Here is a 23329-nt window from a genome sequence, read left to right as displayed (position 1 = left end):
ACAGGAGTGGTGAGAGAGGGCATCCCTGTCTTGTGCCAGTTTTCAAAGGGAATGCTTCCAGTTTTTGCCCATTCAGTATGATATTGGCTGTGGGTTTGTCATAAATAGCTCTTATTATTTTGAGATACGTCCCATCAATACCTAATTTATTGAGAGTTTTTAGCAGGAAGTGCTGTTGAATTTTGTCAAAGGCCTTTTCTGCATCTATTGAGATAATGATGTGGTTTTGCCATTGGTTCTGTTTATATGCTAGATTACGTTTATTGATTTGTGTATGTTGAATCAGCCTTGCATCCCAGGGATGAAGCCCACTTGATCATGGTGGGTAAGCTTTTTGATGTGCAGCTGGATTCGGTTTGCCAGTATTTTATTGAGGATTTTTGCACCGATGTTCATCAGGGATATTCGTCTAAAATTCTCTTTTTTAGTTGTGTCTCTGCCAGGCTTTGGTATCAGGATGATGCTGGCCTCATAAAATGAGTTAGGGAGGATTCCCCCTTTTTCTATTGATTGGAATAGTTTCAGAAGGAATGGTACCAGCTCCTCCTTGTACCTCTGGTAGAATTTGGCTGTGAATCCATCTGGTCCTGGACTGTTTTTGGTTGGTAAGCTATTAATTATTGCCTCAATTTCAGAGCCTGTTATTGGTCTATTCAGAGATTCAACTTCTTCCTGGTTTAGTCTTGGGAGAGTGTATGTGTCGAGGAATTTATCCATTTCTTCCAGATTTTCTAGTTTATTTGCATAGAGGTGTTTATAGTATTCTCTGATGGTAGTTTTTATTTCTGTGGGATCAGTGGTGATATCCCGTTTATCATTTTTTGTTGCATCTATTTGATTCTTCTCTCTTTTCTTCTTTATTAGTCTTGCTAGTGGTCTATCAATTTTGTTGATCTTTTCAAAAAACCAGCTCCTGGATTCATTGATTTTTTGAAGGGTTTTATGTGTCTCTGTTTCCTTCAGTTCTGCTCTGATCTTAGTTATTTCTTGCCTTCTGCTAGTTTTGAGTGTGTTTGCTCATGCTTCTCTAGTTCTTTTAATTGTGATGTTAGGGTGTCAGTTTTAGATCTTTCCTGCTTTCTCTTGTGGTCATTTAGTGTGATAAATTTCCCTCTACACACTGCTTTGAATGTGTCCCAGAGATTCTGGTATGTTGTGTCTTTGTTCTCGTTGGTTTCAAAGAACACCTTTATGTCTGCCTTCATTTTGTTATGTACGCAGTAGTCATTCAGTTGCAGGTTGTTCAGGTTCCATGTAGTTGAGCAGTTTCGAGTGAGTTTCGTAATCCTGAGTTCTAGTTTGATTGCACTGTGGTCTGAGAGACAGTTTGTTATAATTTCTGTTCTTTTACATTTGCTGAGGAGTGCTTTACTTCCCACTATGTGGTCAATTTTGGAATAGGTGTGGTGTGGTGCTGAAAAGAATGTATATTCTGTTGATTTGGGGTGGAGAGTTCTGTAGATGTCTATTAGGTCTGCTTGGTGCAGAGCTGAGTTCAATTCCTGGATATCCTTGCTAACTTTCTGTCTCATCTGTCTAATGTTGACAGTGGGGTGTTAAAGTCTCCCATTATTATTGTGTGGGAGTCTAAGTCTCTTTGTAGGTCTCTAAGGACTTTCTTTATGAATCTAGGTGCTCCTGTACTGGGTGCGTATAAATTTAGGATAGTTAGCTCTTCTTGTTGAATTGATCCCTTTACCATTATGTAATGGCCTTTTCTCTTTTGATCTTTGTTTGTTTAAAGTCTGTTTTATCAGAGACTAGGATTGCAACCCCTGCCTTTTTTTGTTTTCCGTTTGCTTTGTAGATCTTCCTCCATCCCTTTATTTTGAGCCTATGTGTGTCTTTGCAGTGAGATGGGTTTCCTGAATACAGCACACTGATGGGTCTTGACTCTTTATCCAATTTGCCACTGACTGACCTTTTAAATGTATATGACTTTGGAAAAGTAAAAACTAGGTAGACTGCTAAATAAGCATGCTACCAAGGATAAGGAGCACAAAAATATATTAAATGGGCTTTCAGGGCCTTCACTCATTCCACAAATATTTATTAAACACCTACTATATGACACATACTAGGTTAGGCACTGAGCATAAGAAAGATGAGTAACTGCATGTGTGAAAAAGCCTACAGGAAAGACAAAGATGGAAAATTACTCGGAATATCTTGAGAAATTTGAGAAAAATTTAAAGTAGAAATATGTATGTTTTAATATCCTACATAGATGTAAAATCGCTATAGTTTAACGATATATTGTATATGACTATTGTAAAATCATTCTTTTATATATATATGCACACATATATAAGTGTAATCTATTCAGAAAAGAATTATAAATATGTTCATATACTCTTAAACAGTATAAATTTGTCTTATAGATTGAAATATTAACTGAATGCTGAATTTAAGCTTCAATATCTCTGTTCTTCACACTATGTAAGCAGACAGCTATTCAAATCAGAAAGCCATTATCTTTATAGAAAACTAAGCAAGTTATGTTTTTAAAAGACAGCGTTAGGAACATATAAAAAAGACTAATTTTGGGGGAAATAAAAGACCTGAAAGAAAGAAGCATCAAAGAAATCCAAGCTTTCTGAAAACCATTTGATACCCTTAGAAGTGTACCTACCTTTCATTTCTTTGCTGCTGCTGTTGCAGCCAATAAGTTCTTCTGAGAATATATGCCTTTTTTCCCTCCAGAGAGTGAAAAATTTATGGTCTGTTCTGATCGAGACACATTTCTCTCCCTTTTCATTTAAAGGTTTATTTCCTGGTTTAATAGGTGTGTTTCCAAACCCACATCAGTCCTCTTTTCACATGATGCAGATGGGGCACAATCTGAAGGTGACAAGAAGCCAGCCAAAGGCCGTCACCACATCACAGAGAGGATATATTGGGCAGAATCCCATATTGCATGTCTAATAGGAATCTTGTAATAAAATACATGTTCAAAACACTTGAAATTACCTTTCAAAAAGCCCTAAGTGTAATCTAACAAAATATAATAGAGATACTAACACGACCTATATTTCACCCTTTAAATCTTGGATCAAAGAGATCTAAGGCAGTATAAAATGCTGAACTCTGTTTAGCAACAGAGCTTTGCTTGATGGTCTTTCGCTTTATTTTTTACCATGCATGAGGAACAGAAATAAACTAAAAAAGACTTGATCTGTGGATTGTAGCTAGGAAGTTCTGACAACAGTGCGTCTCTTTTGAATCAGGTACAGTGATTGCTACAGAAATTCTATTTAGAAAATACGATTTATTTAGCTAGACTCAGAAAACTTCACCAATGCCGATTTCCTTCAACCATTACTGTTTCTCAAAAGCTATTTTGGTTTTTAGTAACATCACAAAGGATGTTGCTCTATAATTAGTAACTTTTCTTTCAAATGGTATAATGAAAGTAAATGCATTTATAACAAATGGTTAACAAATGGTCATGGAGTACCTACTATGTGCCTGGCATTGTGCTTAGTGCAGGGACAAAAATTGTGCCTGGCATTGGAATAGACACTCTGCTGCTGCTGTTGTTTTATTTGCAACAGAGGATCAAACATGCTACAGCTCACAACTTGTGTGGATCTCCAGTTTGTAACTAATATACTAAGCAATGTGCCACTTTTCTGAAGAGCTATTATCGCAATGTTCTTTTTCATACAGCTTCTTTCATCCATCTGTAAGCACTCAAAGATACAGAGCTCCATTGATTTTTTCCTTGCCCAAATTCCATTAGTCTCCTGTATTTTGATTCTAAGAGATGGAAACTATCAGGCAAATGATATTAGAGAAACACTTCCTGCCATTATGCACTTAACAGTTATTGTCAATGGCATTCCAGAAAGATCTATCCCTCTGAAATAGCATGGTAATTTTTTCTTGATCTTTGGTTATCATCTTGTCCCTCCATGAAACCAATATGACAGTTTTGTTGTTGTTGTTGTTGTTATTGTATGAACCAGTACTCTAGATAACTGGTTGTTTGAGGATATCAATTAGCAACTTTGGAAACCAGGTCAGTGGCTCTGGAAGGCCAGGAGAGAGGAGGGCTTCTAAATTCTGAGAGGAGCTCCGTGTTTTTGCCATGATGGTCCTTTTCTACTGCTCCAGGAAGGATTTTCTAAATTTCTGCCAAGTACTTCCTACATGCAATAATATACTTGAGCATTCTCAAAGCATTTGGAAATGCATCTTTCATTTAATAATATTTGTAAATCATATTAATTTTCCAGAATCAACTGTAATATGGAATTTCTTTCTATCATAAGTTTCCCCTTTTGTTGAGGAAGAAACAAAAAGATATTGTAGTTTAGAAGATCATTTACATGTAAAAATGAAATTAATGGCTTTGGCCCAAATCATTTAATTATTCTTTGCTTTGAATTAATTATGTCAATTATAAATTGTATAGGTTATGAAACACAGTTGAAATATATCTTAATATCATGAATCCAGGTAAATTTCAACTCATCTTTCATTAGACAAATAATGCACACAAACACACACTTTAAGATGGTGTGAAACTCATATAAATTTAGTGTGTTGCTCGACTTACAGTAATGTTATGTCTGGATAAATCCATTATTTTACATTTTACAATGAGTTTATCCCGACATAATCCTATCATAAGTCCAGAAGCATCTATACATACGTGTGTGTATGTGTATATATAGAGTATATAGAGAATATATATAGAGAGAGAATATATATGTATATACATATAATCATCCACCACATAATGACGATTTTGTCAACAACACAGTACATATACAACAGTTGTCCCATAATTTTATAATACTGTATTTTTACTGTACCTTTTCTATGTCTAGATACACAAATGCTCACCGTGGTGTTACAATTGCCTCCAGTACCCAGCACAGTAACATATTGTATAGGTTTGTAGCCTAGGAGCAATAGGCTATACCATATAACCTAGGTGTGCAGCAGGTTTACCATCTAAGTTTGTGTACATATACTCTATGGTGTTTACACAATGATGAAATCACCTAATGATGCATTTCTTGGTACATATTCCCATTGTTAAAAGACACATGACTGTGTGTGTGTGTATACACACATATACATATATATATACACACACACATATATATATACATATATGCACACACATACCTACAGAAATCAGAATCCAATTTCAAAATCTTTGTGTCTATCATCTTTGTTTGGTGATTTTTGACCAAAGAATTAAGCCCAGGACTCTCCTACTCCAATTTCCTTAGAGCCCAGTCATCAAGATAGAAAAGTAAGCCACTTACTAGACCAAAGTTTACAAGAGAAAGTCCAGAATTCTTCCTTCTACAGTGAACTTGGCAGTGTCTCCTGCAAGTAGAATCCTGTTTCACTTGTGATTTTTTTCTACATCTACTTTGTTTTCAGTAAAAGTATAGGAATTTTAATATTGATAGATAATTTTGTTTACAAATTCTTCCTACTGGATAGTTTTCAGAAATAATGGCAGTAACTAACACTTGTATAGTGCTTATTTATGGGCCAGGTACCGTTCTAAACACTGTTATATACTGTCTTAGGTAATCCTAAATTTTGCTGGAAGAGCAAAACTTGGGAGGCAAAATGCCTAATGCACATTTCTTTTTTTTTTTTTTTTTTGAAGAAAAGTATCAGTTACGAGAGTTTGCAAATAAATGTTATTTGTTTGAAACATCCAACACCTATGTTAGTGTCTTGCGCATGGCAGGCACCCAGAATAATATTATGGAAATGACACAGAAGCCCATTATTTTAAACACTTTTAAAATCATTTTTGAAGTATTTCATACGTCATTAAGTGGCCATATCAAAGGGGCTCTTTAGGATTAGATGGGCTACTTGTCTACAGCAAAAGTGTCCAGGTGCCTCCCTCTTTAACAGTGTCTGCCTCAGGCCTCTGCAATATCACTTCTGTTCCCTTCCTACCTCTCAGTCTCTTCTATAAGGATCCTTTTTTCTGATCACATTTTAAGTCCTGAAGCTCTCCAGAGTTTTTCTCACTCTACCTGCTTGCCCTAGATGACCTGATCCATGACAGCTTCAAGTACCACCTTTCCCTAATGGATCCCAAACCCCAAACTTCAGGCCCATATATATATTCAGCCTCCTACTAGGATGTCCCACAGGCCCCTTGAGCTCCTCAGGGCCAAAAGTGAACTCATCATCTTCCCCACCCAAAGCTGCTTCTCCTCCTCTGTTTCAATAATCAGGTCCTACTCTGTGCCAGGCATTGGTGACACGGCAGTGACCATGAGCTAGCTTCCATTCCAGTTCAGTGAAAAGCCACATCATCCATCTGGCTGCTCAGTCTAGTCACCTGGGGGAGAATTCCATCCCTCTGTCTCTTCCCTCAACCCTCCGCCTGGCACCAATCGCACCCACACCCTGAGCATTCCATTCCCGAATATATATTCTTTCCTTGCTGCTCCCATGGGCACCGCCTTGGTTCATGGTCTCATATCTTCTTGCCTCTACTCCTGATTTTTCTGTCTGTAGCTTGACCCTGTCTACTGATGCTAAAAAATGTCTAGACAAAACTTTCAGGATAGAAGCTCTTCCTTCAGCCAATAAGGCTTTTCATGGTCTGATTTCTGACTTTTTGTTATCCTTTCCATTTCCCCACCTGCCACACTCCATATGCAACTTTGGCTGTATCCATAGGAAAGTTCTATGGGTATTAAGCAGGTCACATGATTCCACATGTATTCCTGAAATGCATAGAACCTTTTTTTTTTTTTGTATTGTCTACCCGTATCTTTCAAATTTAGCTCAAGCATTACTTCCTTTGGAAACCCTCAAATCTCCAGTTTAATTTGGAAACTATTCCCCTATGTATATTTATTAGTAGTAGTATTCATTAGCCTGCCTCCTATACTAAATTATAAGTTCAATGACCTTGTCTTATTTAATTTTATATCCTCATACCTAATACAATCTTTGGCACATAGTATATGCTCAATTAAAGTGTGTTAAGTAGTGAATTTTTTGAGCACTCAGTGTATGCTTATGGGACATCTAACTGGTGAATGTAAAATTAGGAGATATATACATTATGTCATCCAGTCACAAGCATTGGAAGTAGACTTTATTCCCTCTGTTTTATAGATGAGGCTCTCATGATCACACAGCTTGAGTGATATAGAGGGGTGGGCTTTAATCCAGGTCTGTCTTGCATCATTATCATATGGCATCTTAACTAAAAGCAAAATATAAAAATAACTAAATAAATATGCACAGAGACACACATTCACATCAAATATCTTTTACGTGCTTTCTGGATTATCTCATTTGGTCTGATTACAAATTCTATTTCATATAATATGTGGATGAAAAGAGCCAAACTCTGTAAAATATTCGAAGAGATTTATTCTGAGCCAAATATGAGTGACCATGGCCCGTGACACAGCCCCAGGAGATCCTGAGAACCTGTGCCTAAGGCAGTCAGGCCACAGCTTGGTTTTATGCATTTTAGGGAGACATAAGACATCAATCAATACATGTAAGATGCACATTGGTTCTGTTCAGAAAGGTGTGACAACTCAAAGGGGATGGGCAGGACTTTCAGGTCATAGTGGTTGGTGATTGGTTGAAAGAGTCTATCTAAAGACCTGGAATCAATAGAAGGGAGTACCTGTGTTAAGATAAGGGGTTGTGGAGAACAGGGTTCTTATTATGCAGATGAAGCGTCCAGGTAGCAGGCTTCAGAGAGAACAGATTGCAAATGTTTCCTAGAAGACTTAAAAAAGGTTCCAGATTCTTAGTTAATGCTCTCTTGGATCAGGAAGAAGATCTGGAAAGAAAAGGGGATTCTCTGCAGAATGTAGATATTCCCCACAAGAGACAGCTTGGTCAAGCCATTTCAAAATATATCAAAGAAATATATTTTGGGGTAAAATACTTTACTTTCAGGACCTGCTATCTATCATGTTGGTATCTTATTGCTACAAAGAGTCTGCTTTGTCAGTCTTAAGGTTTCTGTCTTCTTGTTAATGTTGGTCAGCTGTGCCTGAATTCCAAAGGGAGAAGGGTATATAATAAGGCATGTCGGACCACCCACTCTCATCACGGCCTGGACTAGTGTTTCAGGTTTAGTTTAGAATGCCCTTGGCTGAGAGGAGGGGTCCATTCAGTTGGCTGAGAGGCTTATATTTTTATTTATGGTTTACAAACATAAAGTAAGCAAGTGGATCTTCAGTTAGGAGACCAGATCTAAGTATGCACAATTAGCAAGACACATTTGATACAATATATCTACACTCATACTGCACCCCTCACACACATACTTTTTTTCTCATTTTTTTCTTGTCTTTTGATGACGGTGCTTAAAGACAAAGAGAAAAGATGCCCCTCACCCCCTCAAATCTGCAAGTGTTTTGGGGCTGTGAGAAGCATAGAGCATTTTGTGTTACAGGTAACGGCGACTGTGACTGTGGTGAATGTGTGTGCAGGAGCGGCTGGACTGGCGAGTACTGCAACTGCACCACCAGCACGGACTCCTGCGTCTCTGAAGATGGAGTGCTCTGCAGCGGGCGCGGGGACTGTGTTTGTGGCAAGTGTGTTTGCACAAACCCTGGAGCCTCAGGACCAACCTGTGAACGATGTCCTACCTGTGGTGACCCCTGTAACTCTAAACGGTAATGTCTCTGCTTTTCTCCATTCCTTATGTGGATAGGTTTATAGTGATCAAACTTACAGTGGCATTTTGTAAACTCAGACCTCAGATTGTATTTGCTGGTTTGGTCTCCAAACATCCATCAAAACACACACAAACCCACAGGGCCTCTGTGATCTTCAGCCTGGAACATCAATCTCTCGCTTACCTCTTTCTCAGTCCTGATTATCCAGAATCACAATGTCACGTTTCTGCTAGAGACTAGTGTGGGGAAGTAGAGCTGATGTCCCACACTGATAACATCAGATCGCCTCTCCATTACAATACCAGCCACACAGAAGGAATGCCCTGGAGGTAGACGGATGACACCCACATGCAGTCAGTAGCTTTTCAGGGGAAACAGACAAGCTTCTTTCTTATCTAGAAGTTTATAGCCTGACCTTACTGATTCATTCCTATCTATAGGCTCACAGAGGCAAAAAGGCAGAAAGACGATCTTAGCTTTCAATTCTCTCCTGCTTCTTTACCACCCATGCTCTTTGGCGCCTTTCTTTGGTTGCCATTATACACAGCTATTGTGTATTGTGTTTTATATCATATGCACAATAACAACAATGAAACCTCACAATTTCTTAATGAAATTGGGGCCACATTTGTAGGTCAAGTGAAGCGAGCCTCCAAAGTGGCTCTTATGATATTGCAGTGGATAATGTATTATGCAGCAAATATGCTTCAGCATTTCAGATTTTCATGAACTCTGATGCCCAAAATGGTGACATTTGCATTTCTGACATAAACAGAGTGAGAAAAGCAATTTTTCACTCAGTGGTTACTCACCATTCAGGTGTCAAAACTTCTCTGCCACTGTCACTGGCAAACTAAGACAAGACGCATGCCAGGAGAAGCATGAGGACATGATTAGGATGATTTGAATAGGATCTAATGGAAAATGTCCCTTCAAGGTGTTTCTTCTATTACTTTTCTGTTTTATCTTCTCTATAAATATGATTCAATCTTAAATCTGAATTTCAAGATAGGAAATTAACAATCAAAGCCATTTGAATTTGGGGAATCAGGTAGTGACCTCCTTGGGATTTATGTTAGTTTTGAGATGAGTCCATTTTTCCATTTATTCATGCATGTATTCATTTATCAATGAGGTATTAAGTGCCTACTATATGCCAAGAATCATGTTATGCCATGGGCAAAGCAATGATGACTGAAACAGCTACAGCCTCTGCCTTCACAGGTGCTGGAGTCTAGTGGGAAAGATAGACATCTTTTAAAGTCATTGCAATGCTGTCTAGGCTGACAGTTTTAATAGGGGAAATAGAGAGTGCTATGGAACTCTACAGCAGGGGATAAGGCTACCAGACTAGCTAGGGCAGCCATCATTGAGATGCACAAAGACAAAGAGATATTAAGAGCTTCCACAATCACCAGACCCCTTCAAAACCACTCCAAATAAATATACAATCTAGAAAAATGCAATGTATTTGCAATGCCAAGGCAACTTCACAGTAAAACCTTCCCCACTGCCTGATAGGTTGCCCTTCCTGTGGAAAAATCCTGAGGCTTCCACTGCAAAGGAACTGATTGGTCTAAGGTTTAGTGAAGGTTTGCCTAAGGAAGTGCAGTCTCAGCTGAGATTTGCTGAGTTATGGGTGCGGGTGGGGTGTTTCAAGCACTTAGCAGAGCATACATTTCCATGGCCAGAGGAGACAGAGACAGCATGTGTGTCCACAGTAAGAAAACTTTTGCAGTTTTTGAATTACAACAAGCACAATCTATTTGTAAAGTGATTTTCAGCACAAGATTAATTCAGGGTCTAAATTTTACTTTGCTCTATAGATGTCTTTAGAGTACCTTAATTCTTGGATGATGTTCTTGGAAATGTACTTTTCTATAAATAGTGATCTTTTATTTAAAAGCCTGTATTAATGAGGATCCATGCTCTAATCCACAGCTTTTGAGATCCAGGCTCTAATCCACACCTTCATTAAGACTTAGACTTATTCAAAAGAGTTACAGAAAAGTGAATTGTGAAAATAATCATATAAGACATATACAAAGTCCACTAATCATTCTTGGAATTCTGGTTAAGGTATAGACCATTTCTGTCAAGAAATTCAAAACTTCTCCCAGTCTCTAATCATATTTTAGGAACATACGCTCTCTGTAGGAAAAAGTAAATGAAAACAGCTAAATCAATTTATTTTCTTTGATTATTTGTTTGTTTACTTAACCAATCAGGAGCAATCATTACAGGTAAATGAAAATAGTAGCTATTATCAAGACTGGCCCAGGGAACATTGATTACTGAGTGGAACTCAGAATAATTCAGTGTTCACTTGGACATTACCCTACTATCCTTTTGAAAGTAACAAAAGATAATGACATCTATGACATACTCCTATAGCACAAATTGCAACAACAGCAGTAAAGCAATATTCAAGCTGCAAATCTATTTTCCACCAGCATGAACTGATACACTGTTGGATACTGTCCACAGGAGCTGCATTGAGTGCCACCTGTCAGCAGCTGGCCAAGCCCGAGAAGAATGTGTGGACAAGTGCAAACTAGCTGGTGCGACCATCAGTGAAGAAGAAGGTTCTGCTTGTCTTAAATTGTTTTTCATTTCCTTATGTAGTTCTTGAGAGGCGTAGTTCTTGACCCTCTGTGAATCGAGGGCTATTTAGTAGCTTGACCTTATTTGTACCAGGGCATTAGCTCACTCACATTCATTTTTTAAGAGTAAATGCATCCTATAAGACTAGAAACTTGATGTCTCAGGACACTAGCATTTCAAAGTCATAGCTATTCTATTTGACTTCAGCTCTGTTGCCAAGTTCACCTCTGCTTAACAAATTCAACTGTAGAGAATTCCAGAATGCTATATTTTTCAAACTAGAAATGGAGAAAAATTGAAGAAATGGCTAAATGTTAACCCCCAAACCTGAATTCACCCTTTATCATCCAATTGCTTTATTTCAAGATAAGATAAAGCCAACTGTAAAACAGTGTTCCAGATGGTGGCTCCAAGATACTGGGTGGTTTCTGGTTAGTGGCCATTTTTCCTCTCCTCCATATACTTTTATTCCCAACCTTCCAAACATGGGCATTACAATGACCATCCTCAATTCCCTGTTGCCTCACCCCCAAAATACAAGAAAGACCTATTCTCTTTAACGGCTAAGCAAACTTCTCTTGCTTTCATCTGTCATTTTAAATTTAATTACTTAGAATCAGAGTCTAGTGGCAAAGTTTCACCTCAAATATTTAAATAGCTTGTTTTTTAACTGGCAATACCTTTTAAACAATAATTTGTGGACTTTAAAACAAAGATGATGACTGACTCTTCCAACAGAGACAACCTGGGAGAATTTAATTTGGTATCATCCTGAACTCGCTGCATTATCATGCAGCTCAGGGTAGAATTGCTACTCTGCACACATTAGAGATGTGGCCAAGATGTAGCTCAGGTGAAGTGAAATAATTAAGCCAATAATGTATGACCCTCCAGGATGTGTCTCTTGAATAGATGGAATTAGAATACGGAAATTAATCCATTTCCAGCATGGATTGAGTTAATGAACTTTATATTGTTTTGAAGACTACTTACATTGTCTGAAAATTTAGAGTTCTAACTATGCACAATTGGATTACCCTATATGGAGGGTCATGATATGTGCTCATAAAACCCCTCACCAATGCTTTTCTTGTGACCAAAGATAAACATGCCAAATAGCAGTAAATTGGACAAAATGGTGTGCGCCTTACATTACTACCAAAGGCGAGATACATGAAAGCACTGAGCAGACAGCCTCTGTGGACTTCCCACATTAGTACCTGGTGCAAAGTCCTAGCATCACCTTCTGGGCTCATTTCACAGCAAGCACTGGGGATAGTTACCAAGTGTTTCTGAGAAACGCGTAAAAATTGCAGAAAATGCTCTGCAAATTGCTAAGCCTCAATTCACTAGCAACATGGGAAATCTAATGTGTTGAGGAAAAAAAGGAGTAAACCTTACATACATGCAAATCATAATGGCATGAACAAGGTACTTACTATATTTAAGTACACAGGTTTTTTTGAGTAGATTATCATAAATGCTGAGATTGGAGAGGAAGACTAGGGCTCCAGTGGCATTTAAAATACTTACATTATTCTTTTTGTGTATTTGACTAAATTATTTCAAAATAGGGAGATACAATTATTTGTAACTCAGCAATTGAAAATAAAAATTGGATTACTAATACCATTTAAAGCACTAATCTGGATGAATTTGAGAGAAAAAAATGTTTTTAATTCAGACTGTGTTTAAAAGCCACTTTTCTAATGAGCCTTTTTATAAGCTTTATTTCAAGTTACTCATCCAGTTATGTTACTGATCATACTACCTTGAAATGATCGCATAATATTTGTCTTTTAACAACCTACCCTTCCCCCAACAAGAGGAATTTTATTTTACTCCTGGGGAGTATTTTACTCCCCAGGAGTAAAAAAAAAAAGCATAACTTTATAATCTGTATGAATTGTTCCTCAGTTATGCTGTGAGTGGGCATATCAAAAACATGTTATTAACCTTATTCATCCCATTTTACTGAGAGTCTTTTTTTTTTTCTTTTTTTTTGAGACAAGGCCTTACCCTGTCTCCCCGGCTGGAGTGTAGTGGCGTGATCAAGGCTCACTGCATTCTAGACCTTCCAGGCTCAGCCTCATGAGTACCTGGGACTACAGGCACATGCCACCCTACACAGTGTAATTTTTTGTAGTTTTTGTAGAAATGGGGTTTTGCCATGTTGGCCAGGCTGGCCTCGAACTCTGAGCTCAAGGCATCTGCCCGCCTCAGCCTCCCAAATTGCTGGGATTACAGGCATGCACCACAGTGCCCAGCTTGAGAGTCATATTTTTATTTACCTTAACATACATGTACTCAGAGAATTGTTTCTCAAAGTATATTCCATGTAACCCTAGATATGAAAACATTACATAGAAAAAGGCGCCCCTGGTAATGTAAATCTTAGAAATAGGAAACTAGGTTTCTTGTTTTCTTTGCAGGACTTCTGAGAGTTGTTATACATTTAAATTAAATGTGCATTGTGAATCATCAGGAATGGCAAGGGGAGGAATTGGAATAAATAGAGGATTCCCAAACTTATCTGACCATAAACCCCTTACTTTTTCCTTGGGAAACATTGTTGTTTGTTTGTTTTCGTTTTTGTTTTTTTGAAAACTGCTAACTAATCCTAGAGCTGAGGTCTTAAACATATGGCCATCTTGACTCAGTGGTGCAGATGCTTTGTATTTTTCTTTTTCTTTTTTTTAAATTTTATTATCATTATACTTTAAGTTTTAGGGTACATGTGCACAATGTGCAGGTTTGTTACATATGTATACATGTGCCATGTTGGTGTGCTGCACCCATTAACTCGTCATTTAGCATTAGGTATATCTCCTAATGCTATCCCTCCCCCCTCCCCCATCCCACAACGGTCCCTGAAGTGTGATGTTCCCCTTCCTGTGTCCATGTGTTCTCATTGTTCAATTCCCACCTATGAGTGAGAACATGTGGTGTTTGGTTTTCTGTCCTTGCGATAGTTTGCTGAGAATGATGGTTTCCAGTTTCATCCATGTCCCTACAAAGGACATGAACTCTTCATTTTTTACGGCTGCATAGTATTCCATGGTGTATGTGTGCCACATTTTCTTTTTTTTTTTTTTTTTTTTTTAATTATACTCTAAGTTTTAGGGTACATGTGCACATTGTGCAGGTTTGTTACATATGTATACATGTGCCATGCTGGTGCGCTGCACCCACTAACGTGTCATCTAGCATTAGGTATATCTCCCAATGCTATCCCTTCCCCCTCCCCCGACCCCACCACAGTCCCCAGAGTGTGATATTCCCCTTCCTGTGTCCAAGTGATCTCATTGTTCAATTCCCACCTATGAGTGAGAATATGCGGTGTTTGGTTTTTTGTTCTTGCGATAGTTTACTGAGAATGATGGTTTCCAATTTCATCCATGTCCCTACAAAGGACATGAACTCATCATTTTTTATGGCTGCATAGTATTCCATGGTGTATATGTGCCACATTTTCTTAATCCAGTCTATCATTGTTGGACATTTGGGTTGGTTCCAAGTCTTTGCTATTGTAAATAGTGCCACAATAAACATACGTGTGCATGTGTCTTTATAGCAACATGGTTTCTAATCCTTTGGGTATATATCCAGTAATGGGATGGCTGGGTCAAATAGTATTTCTAGTTCTAGATCCCTGAGGAATCGCCACACTGACTTCCACAATGGTTGAACTAGTTTACAGTCCCACCAACAGTGTAAAAGTGTTCCTATTTCTCCACATCCTCTCTAGCACCTGTTGTTTCCTGACTTTTTAATGATTGCCATTCTAACTGGTGTGAGATGGTATCTCATTGTGGTTTTGATTTGCATTTCTCTGATGGCCCGTGATGATGAGCATTTTTTCATGTGTCTTTTGGCTGCATAAATGTCTTCTTTTGACAAGTGTCTGTTCATATCCTTGGCCCACTTTTTGATGGGGTTGTTTGTTTTTTTCTTGTAAATTTGTTTGAGTTCATTGTAGATTCTGGATATTAGCCCTTTGTCAGATGAGTAGGTTGCGAAAATTTTCTCCCATTCTGTAGGTTGCCTGTTCATTCTGATGGTGGTTTCTTTTGCTGTGCAGAAGCCCTTTAGTTTAATTAGATCCCATTTGTTAATTTTGACTTTTGTTGCCATTGCTTTTGGTGTTTTAGACATGAAGTCCTTGCCCATGCCTATGTCCTGAATGGTATTGCCTAGGTTTTCTTCTAGGGTTTTTATGGTTTTAGGTCTAACATGTAAGTCTTTAATCCATCTTGAATTAATTTTTGTATAAGGTGTAAGGAAGGGATCCAGTTTCAGCTTTCTACATATGGCTAGCCAGTTTTCCCATCACCATTTATTAAACAGGGAATCCTTTCCCCATTGCTTGTTTTTCTCAGGTTTGTCAAAGATCAGATAGTTGTAGATATGCGGCATTATTTCTGAGGGCTCTGTTCTATCCCATTGATCTATATCTCTGTTTTGGTACCAGTACCATGCTGTTTTGGTTACTGTAGCCTTGTAGTATAGTTTGAAGTCAGGTAGCATGATGCCTCTAGCTTTGTTCTTTTGGCTTAGGATTGACTTGGTGACGCGGGCTCTTTTTTGGTTCCATATGAACTTTAAAGTAGTTTTTTCCAATTCTGTGAAGAAAGTCATTGGTAGCTTGAGGGGGATGGCACTGAATCTATAAATTACCTTGGACAGTATGGCCATTTTCACGATATTGATTCTTCCTACCCATGAGCATGGAATGTTCTTCCATTTGTTTGTATCCTCTTTTATTTCATTGAGCAGTGGTTTGTAGTTCTCCTTGAAGAGATCCTTCACATCCCTTGTAAGTTGGATTCCTAGGTATTTTATTCTCTTTGAAGCAATTGTGAATGGGAGTTCACTCATGATTTGGTTCTCTGTTTGTCTATTATTGGTGTATAAGAATGCTTGTGATTTTTGTACATTGATTTTGTATTCTGAGATTTTGCTGAAGTTGCTTATCAGCTTAAGGAGATTTTGGGCTGAGATGATGGGGTTTTCTAGATATACAATCACATCATCTGCAAACAGGGACAATTTGACTTCCTCTTTTCCTAATTGAATACCCTTTATTTCCTTCTCCTGCCTAATTGCCCTGGCCAGAACTTCCAACACTATGTTTAACAGGAGTGGTGAGACAGGGCATCCCTGTCTTGTGCCTGTTTTCAAAGGGAATGCTTCCAGTTTTTGCCCATTCAGTATGATATTGGCTGTGTGTTTGTCATAAATAGCTCTTATTATTTTGAGATACGTCCCATCAATACCTAATTTATTGAGAGTTTTTAGCATGAAGCACTGTTGAATTTTGTCAAAGGCCTTTTCTGCATCTATTGAGATAATCATGTGGTTTTTGTCTTTGGTTCCGTTTATATGCTGGATTACATTTATTGATTTGCATATGTTGAATCAGCCTTGCATCCCAGGGATGAAGCCCACTTGATCATGGTGGATAAGCTTTTTGATGTGCTGCTGGATTCGGTTTGCCAGTATTTTATTGAGGATTTTTCCATCAATGTTCGTCAAGGATATTTGTTTAAAATTCTCTTTTTTTGTTGTTTCTCTGCCAGGCTTTGGTATCAGGATGATGCTGGCCTCATAAAATGAGTTAGGGAGGATTCCCCCTTTTTCTATTGATTGGAATAGTTTCAGAAGGAGTGGTACCAGCTCCTCCTTGTACCTCTGGTAGAATTCGGCTGTGAATCCATCTGGTCCTGGACTTTTTTTGGTTGGTAAGCTATTGATTATTGCCACAATTTCAGAGCCTGTATTGGTCTATTCAGAGATTCAACTTCTTCCTGGTTTAGTCTTGGGAGGATGTATGTGTCAAGGAATTTATCCATTTCTTCTAGATTTTCCAGTTTATTTGCATAGAGGTGTTTGTAGTATTCTCTGATGGTAGTTTGTATTTCTGTGGGATCGGTGGTGATAGCCCCTTTATCATGTTTTATTGCATCTATCTGATTCTTCTCTCTTTTCTTCTTTATTAGTCTTGCTAGCGGTCTATTGATTTTGTTGATCTTTTCAAAAAACCAGCTCCTGGATTCATTAATTTTTTGAAGGGTTTTTTGTGTCTCTATTTCCTTCAGTTCTGCTCTGATTTTAGTAATTTCTTGCCTTCTGCTAGCTTTTGAATGTGTTTGCTCTTGCTTTTCTAGTTCTTTTAATTGTGATGTTAGGGTGTCAGTTTTGGATCTTTCCTGCTTTCTCTTGTGGGCATTTAGTGCTATAAATTTCACTCTGCACACTGCTTTGAATGTGTCCCAGAGATTCTGGTATGTTGTTTCTTTGTTCTCGCTGGTTTCAAAGAACATCTTTATTTCTGCCTTCATTTCGTTATGTACCCAGTAGTCATTCAGGAGCAGGTTGTTCAGTTTCCATGTAGTTGAGCAGTTTTGAGTGAGTTTCTTAATCCTGAGTCCTAGTTTGATTGCACTGTGGTCTGAGAGACAGTTTGTTATAATTTCTGTTCTTTTACATTTGCTGAGGAGTGCTTTACTTCCAACTATGTGGTTACTTTTGGAATAGGTGTGGTGTGGTGCTGAAAAAAATGTATATTCTGTTGATTTGGGGTGGAGAGTTCTGTAGATGTCTATTAGGTCCGCTTGGTGCAGAGCTGGGTTCAATTCCTGGGTATCCTTGTTAACTTTCTGTCTCGTTGATCTGTCTAATGTTGACAGTGGGGTGTTAAAGTCTCCCATTATTATTGTGTGGGAGTCTAAGTCTCTTTGTGGGTCACTAAGGACTTGCTTTATGAATCTGGGTGCTCCTGTATTGGGTGAATATATATTTAGGATAGTTAGCTCTTCTTGTTGAATTGATCCCTTTACCATTATGTAATGGCCTTCTTTGTCTCTTTTGATCTTTGTTGGTTTAAAGTCTGTTTTATCAGAGACTAGGATTGCAACCCCTGCCTTTTTTTGTTTTCCATTTGCTTGGTAGATCTTCCTCCATCCCTTTATTTTGAGCCTATGTGTGTCTCTGCCCGTGAGATGGGTTTCCTGAATACAGCACACTGATGGGTCTTGAGTCTTCATCCAATTTGCCAGTCTGTGTCTTTTAATTGGAGCATTTAGCCCATTTACATTTAAAGTTAATATTGTTATGTGTGAATTTGGTCCTGTCATTATGATGTTAGCTGGTTATTTTGCTCGTTAGTTGATGCAGTTTCTTCCTAGCCTTGATGGTCTTTACATTTTGGCATGTTTTTGCAGTGGCTGGTACCAGTTGTTCCTTTCCATGTTTAGTGCTTCCTTCAGGAGCTCTTTTAGGGTAGGCCTGGTGGTGACAAAAATCTCTCAGCATTTGCTTGTCTGTAAAGTATTTTATTTCTCCTTCACTTATGAAGCTTAGTTTGGCTGGATATGAAATTCTGGGTTGAAAATTCTTTTCTTTAAGAATGTTCAATATTGGCCCCCACTCTCTTCTGGCTTGTAGAGTTTCTGCCAAGAGATCAGCTGTTAGTCTGATGGGCTTCCCTTTGTGGGTAACCCAACCTTTCTCTCTGGCTGCCCTTAGCATTTTTTCCTTAATTTCAACTTTGGTGAATCTGATAATTGTGTGTCTTGGAGTTGCTCTTCTCGAGGAGTATCTTTGTGGCGTTCTCTGTATTTCCTGAATCTGAACGTTGGCCTGCCTTGCTAGATTGGGGAAGTTCTCCTGGATAATATCCTGCAGAGTGTTTTCCAACTTGGTTCCATTCTCCCCGTCACTTTCAGGTACACCAATCAGAAGTAGATTTGGTCTTTTCACATAGTCCCATATTTCTTGGAGGCTTTGTTCATTTCTTTTTATTCTTTTTTCTCTAAACTTCCCTTCTCACTTCATTTCATTCATTTCATCTTCCATCACTGATGCCCTTTCTTCCAGTTGATCGCATCAGTTCCTGAGGCTTCTGCATTCTTCACGTAGTTCTCGAGCCTTGGCTTTCAGCTCCATCAGCTCCTTTAAGGACTTCTCTGCGTTGATTATTCTAGTTATCCATTCGTCTAATTTTTTTTCACAGTTTTTAACTTCTTTGCCATTGATTTGAATTTCCTCCTGTAGCTCGGAGTAGTTTGATCGTCTGGAGCCTTCTTCTCTCAATTCATCAAAGTCATTCTCCCTCCAGCTTTGTTCCACTGCTGGTGAGGAGCTGCATTCCTTTGGAGGAGGAGAGGCACTCTGCTTTTTAGAGTTTCCAGTTTTTCTGCTCTGTTTTTTCCCCATCTTTGTGGTTTTATCTACTTTTGGTCTTTGATGATGCTGATGTACAGAAGGGTTTTTGGTGTGGATGTCCTTTCTGTTTGTTAGTTTTCCTTCTAACAGACAGGACCCTCAGCTGCAGGTCTGTTGGAGTTTGCTAGAGGTCCACTCCAGACCCTGTTTGCCTGGGTATCAGCAGCGGTGGCTGCAGAACAGTGGTGGCTGTAGAACAGTGGATCTTGGTGAACCGCAAATGCTGCTGCCTGATATTCCTCTGGAAGTTTTGCCTCAGAGGAGTACCCGGCTGTGTGAGGTGTCAGTCTGCCCCTACTAGGGGGTGCCTCCCAGTTAGGCTGTTCGGGGGTCAGGGACCCACTTGAGGAGGCAGTCTGCCCATTCTCAGATCTCCAGCTGTGTGCTGGGAGAACCACTACTCTCTTCAAAGCTGTCAGACAGGGACATTTAAGTCTGCAGAGGTTACTGCTGTCTTTTTGTTTGTCTGTGCCCTGCCCCCAGAGGTGGAGCCTACAGAGGCAGGCAGGCCTCCTTGAGCTGTGGTGGGCTCCACCCAGTTTGAGCTTCCCAGCTGCTTTGTTTACCTAATCAAGCCTGGGCAATGGCAGGTGCCCCTCCCCCAGCCTCGCTGCCGCCTAGCAGTGTACAAGGCGGCTGTGCTAGCAATCAGCGAGACTCCGTGGGCGTAGGACCCTCTGAGCCAAGTGCAGGATATAATCTGGTGTGCCATTTTTTAAGCCCATTGGAAAAGAGCAGTATTAGGGTGGGAGTGACCCGATTTTCCAGGTGCCGTCTGTCACCCCTTTCTTTGACTAGGAAAGGGAACTCCCTGACCCCTTGTGCTTCCCGAGTGAGGCAATGCCTCGCCCTGCTTTGGCTCGCGCACGGTGCGCGCACCCACTGACCTGCACCCACTGTCTGGCACTCCCTAGTGAGATGAACCCGGTACCTCAGATGGAAATGCAGAAATCACCCATCTTCTGCGTTGCTCACGCTGGGTGCTGTAGACTGGAGCTGTTCCTATTCGGCCATCTTGGCTCCACCCCCCTGCTTTGTATTTTTCACACCCTCCCTGGACCTTCCCAGGCCCACATCCTCACCCCTGTTTTCACATTTCTTCCTTCTCTGAGTATGGTTCCACGGACTGCCTGGCATCTTATTTTCATTGTATTATTCTAGAGCAGCACTGTAGACATTCACAAAGGAAGGGAAAAAAGAGAGATCCATTTTCTATGAACAACAGAAGAAATTATGCAGCGAATTATGCAAATCTGTCGTTGCACATTTGAGAATACTATTTCAATACCCAAACACCATGAAACAGGCTACATCTAGAGCCGTAACAGTCATGAAAAGGAGTGGTGAAGTAATTAAAGCAACATGGGAGTTGTGACTCAAAGATCATATTCTGCCATTCCATTAACACTTAAATAACCCTGACCAGGTCAAGTAAGCCTCTCTAGGCTTCAGTGCAGCTATTTGAAAGAAAATTTTTAAAAACATGGTTAATATTACTGAAAGGAGTATGATAAGCCACTCACATATTTCCTACCACAGAATAAAATGTTTCATTAAATATGTTCAAGGCGAGCAGAGTGAGCCTGGGCTGTTCCCACAGAGAGGGGGAAAGAAGCAAGAAAACAGTCCAAGAAGAAAACGCATAGTCCCCAAGACTTCATGAACCCTAGCTAATTGGAGGGGCAAGTGAACAGGAGATGTGGTAAAGGCCAAATAAAATGGCCAACGTATGAATTATATATGCAATACCATTTGCAATCAAATATATGAAATAACACACATCTCACCAAATCTCTTAATCAGAATCTCCTTTTTAAAAATACTTATTAAACAACTCACTAAGTGTACAAGCTCCTCTGCACACAACCAACTTCTCAAATCAGAATACCCAAGGTGGGTCCCCAGAATCTACATTTTCAAAACTCCCAGGTGACTTAGATGACCATAATCATTTGGCAATGACTAGACTAGGATGATTTGTAATTAGATTTCTTAATATTCCCATGTAATAGATGTTTCTAATGGGTTCAAAAACAGTTTGTACACTTAAATCTATCATCCGAAATTTTATTTACAATGCTAAATGTCTTGCTGGTTCCTGTTTTCATAGATAATACAAAGCATACTTCTCACAGACACTGTTGGGTTTTTCATCTCAAACAAAATGTAAAGACAGCAAACAGCAACTTAATATTTCTATCTATGGCTATGGCATTTTTGACCAAAAACAGACTATTATTTAATTTTTGTTAGATTCAGAAAACACATTAGATTCTGCTTTATTAATGTTTTTATTTTTAAGCTAATGGGAGAGGTTATAAGTCTAGTAGGAGTATGTCCAAGATTATCAGGGGCAGCCCCAGTTTTAATGTTCTGATCCATTGTAGCATAACACACTAATTTTGGACCTATGTCCTAAAAGTTTAGATTAGGAGAAAAACGTCTTCTACTTACAGGTTTCTGAAAAACAGTGTTTGTAACCATCATTGAAAAGTCTCCAACTTAAAAGATAGGAGAACAGTTAAGCAAATTTGTTTGGTTTTCTTAATTAGCAGAATGCCACATAATTTTGGCATACATCCTGGACTACTAAAATTTCTGGTAGATAGTACTGGCATCTCAGATTGGCCATTTTACTTTACTTTTAATTTCTGTCATGACATTCATTTTCTGCCTCTTGAATGAGCTCAATAAGGAAAAATTCCCACTTGGAAAAGATTTAAGGTAAACTGGATTTTTTTTTTTTTTCAAATTAAGAAAGGAGCTCTACTGAATGATAGACAAACTGTCACTGTGGATTTATTTACCTTTATCCTGCTGGTCCCTGAGCTACATAATGCTTCAGTCTCAGTTTCCTGATATTAATTTATGTTACTGTTACCACAATACATGGCCAGCAATCTTGACTATGTCGTTGTGAGAAAGGCCCCTTTAAAAGTATCAGTATCAGTTTGAACTGTGCAGAAATGTAATCTAGACATCCTTCATGCTCTCAGCAAAGAACCTATAGCCCCCTCATTACCATAATCAGGGCCATTCTATTCCCAAGGCAGCTGTGGGTACCTGCCTTGAAGTACGTTCAGCCTGTTGCAATCCTGCCCGTATCCGTTTGATAGGCACATTTGATGGTCAGTCCTGATTGACCACAACTGGAACTGTTCTTCTGGAACGTGAGTGAAAACGAAAACCTCACTTCATGAGAAAAAAAAAAACCTATGCCTCTCCTATTCTCATTCTGCAATATTGAAAACTCTAATTTACATATTAAAACTCAATACTACTTTGTTTTAAAAACAATCTCTTTTGGAATCTTGTTTAACCTAATGAATGACTCCTTTATCTGCAGATTTCTCAAAGGATGGTTCTGTTTCCTGCTCTCTGCAAGGAGAAAATGAATGTCTTATTACATTCCTAATAACTACAGATAATGAGGGGAAAACCATCATTCACAGCATCAATGAAAAAGGTGGGTGTTTTGCCTTCCATTGCCGATGGCAAATGATACTACACAGGAGAAGAGAAAGCAACCAGAAAATCGCTCTGGGTAGCATGCCAGGAAAGACATTTCCAAAATTTTGATGAAGTTTCTTAAAGTTTCCCAAGGATTGAAAGATGCCAGTTAGAAGGTTCAGTATGTTCCAGTGTCTCTTATTAAGACCAGATAAGGGTCGGGCACGGTGGCTCACACCTGTAATCCCAGCACTTTGGGAGGCCGAGGAGGGTGGGTCACTTGAGGTCAGGAGTTGGAGACCACCCTGGCCAACATGGTGAAACCCTGTCTCTACTAAAAATACAAAAATTAGCCGGGTATGGTGGCCTGCACCTATAATCCCAGCTACTTGGGAGGC

General features: G+C 39.1%; 1 protein-coding gene across 7 annotated transcripts in view, besides 2 other annotated features; it reads left to right on the top strand.

Annotated features, from left to right (window-relative positions):
* ITGB6 (integrin subunit beta 6) overlaps positions 1–23329 on the top strand; it is a 100602-nt gene that overhangs the window by 65246 nt on the left and 12027 nt on the right. For 6 of the 7 annotated variants that reach the window (NM_001282353.2, NM_001282354.2, NM_001282390.2 and 3 more), the window contains 3 exons: positions 8426–8648; positions 11139–11236; positions 22828–22947. In NM_001282353.2, the coding sequence (NP_001269282.1) occupies positions 8426–8648; positions 11139–11236; positions 22828–22947 (441 nt within the window). The remainder of the gene's footprint in view (positions 1–8425; positions 8649–11138; positions 11237–22827; positions 22948–23329) is intronic. The other variant, NM_001282355.2, reaches the window with a different exon arrangement.
* Positions 8578–9176: an enhancer, noted in NCBI's record as "NANOG-H3K4me1 hESC enhancer chr2:160982362-160982960 (GRCh37/hg19 assembly coordinates)". NCBI's record gives its function as "activates a minimal SCP1, AML or CMV promoter by ChIP-STARR-seq in naive H9 embryonic stem cells {active_cell/tissue: H9 hESC(naive)}" and the evidence as "EXISTENCE:reporter gene assay evidence [ECO:0000049][PMID:30033119]".
* Positions 22362–22431: an enhancer, noted in NCBI's record as "active region_16697". NCBI's record gives its function as "activates an Ori minimal core promoter by ATAC-STARR-seq in GM12878 lymphoblastoid cells {active_cell/tissue: GM12878}" and the evidence as "EXISTENCE:reporter gene assay evidence [ECO:0000049][PMID:35858748]".

The sequence above is a fragment of the Homo sapiens genome, chromosome 2, assembly GCF_000001405.40.
Source record: "Homo sapiens chromosome 2, GRCh38.p14 Primary Assembly".
Classification (NCBI taxonomy): domain Eukaryota; kingdom Metazoa; phylum Chordata; class Mammalia; order Primates; family Hominidae; genus Homo; species Homo sapiens.
Note: the sequence above shows the minus strand (reverse complement) of the source record. Positions and strands in the feature narration are given on the sequence as shown.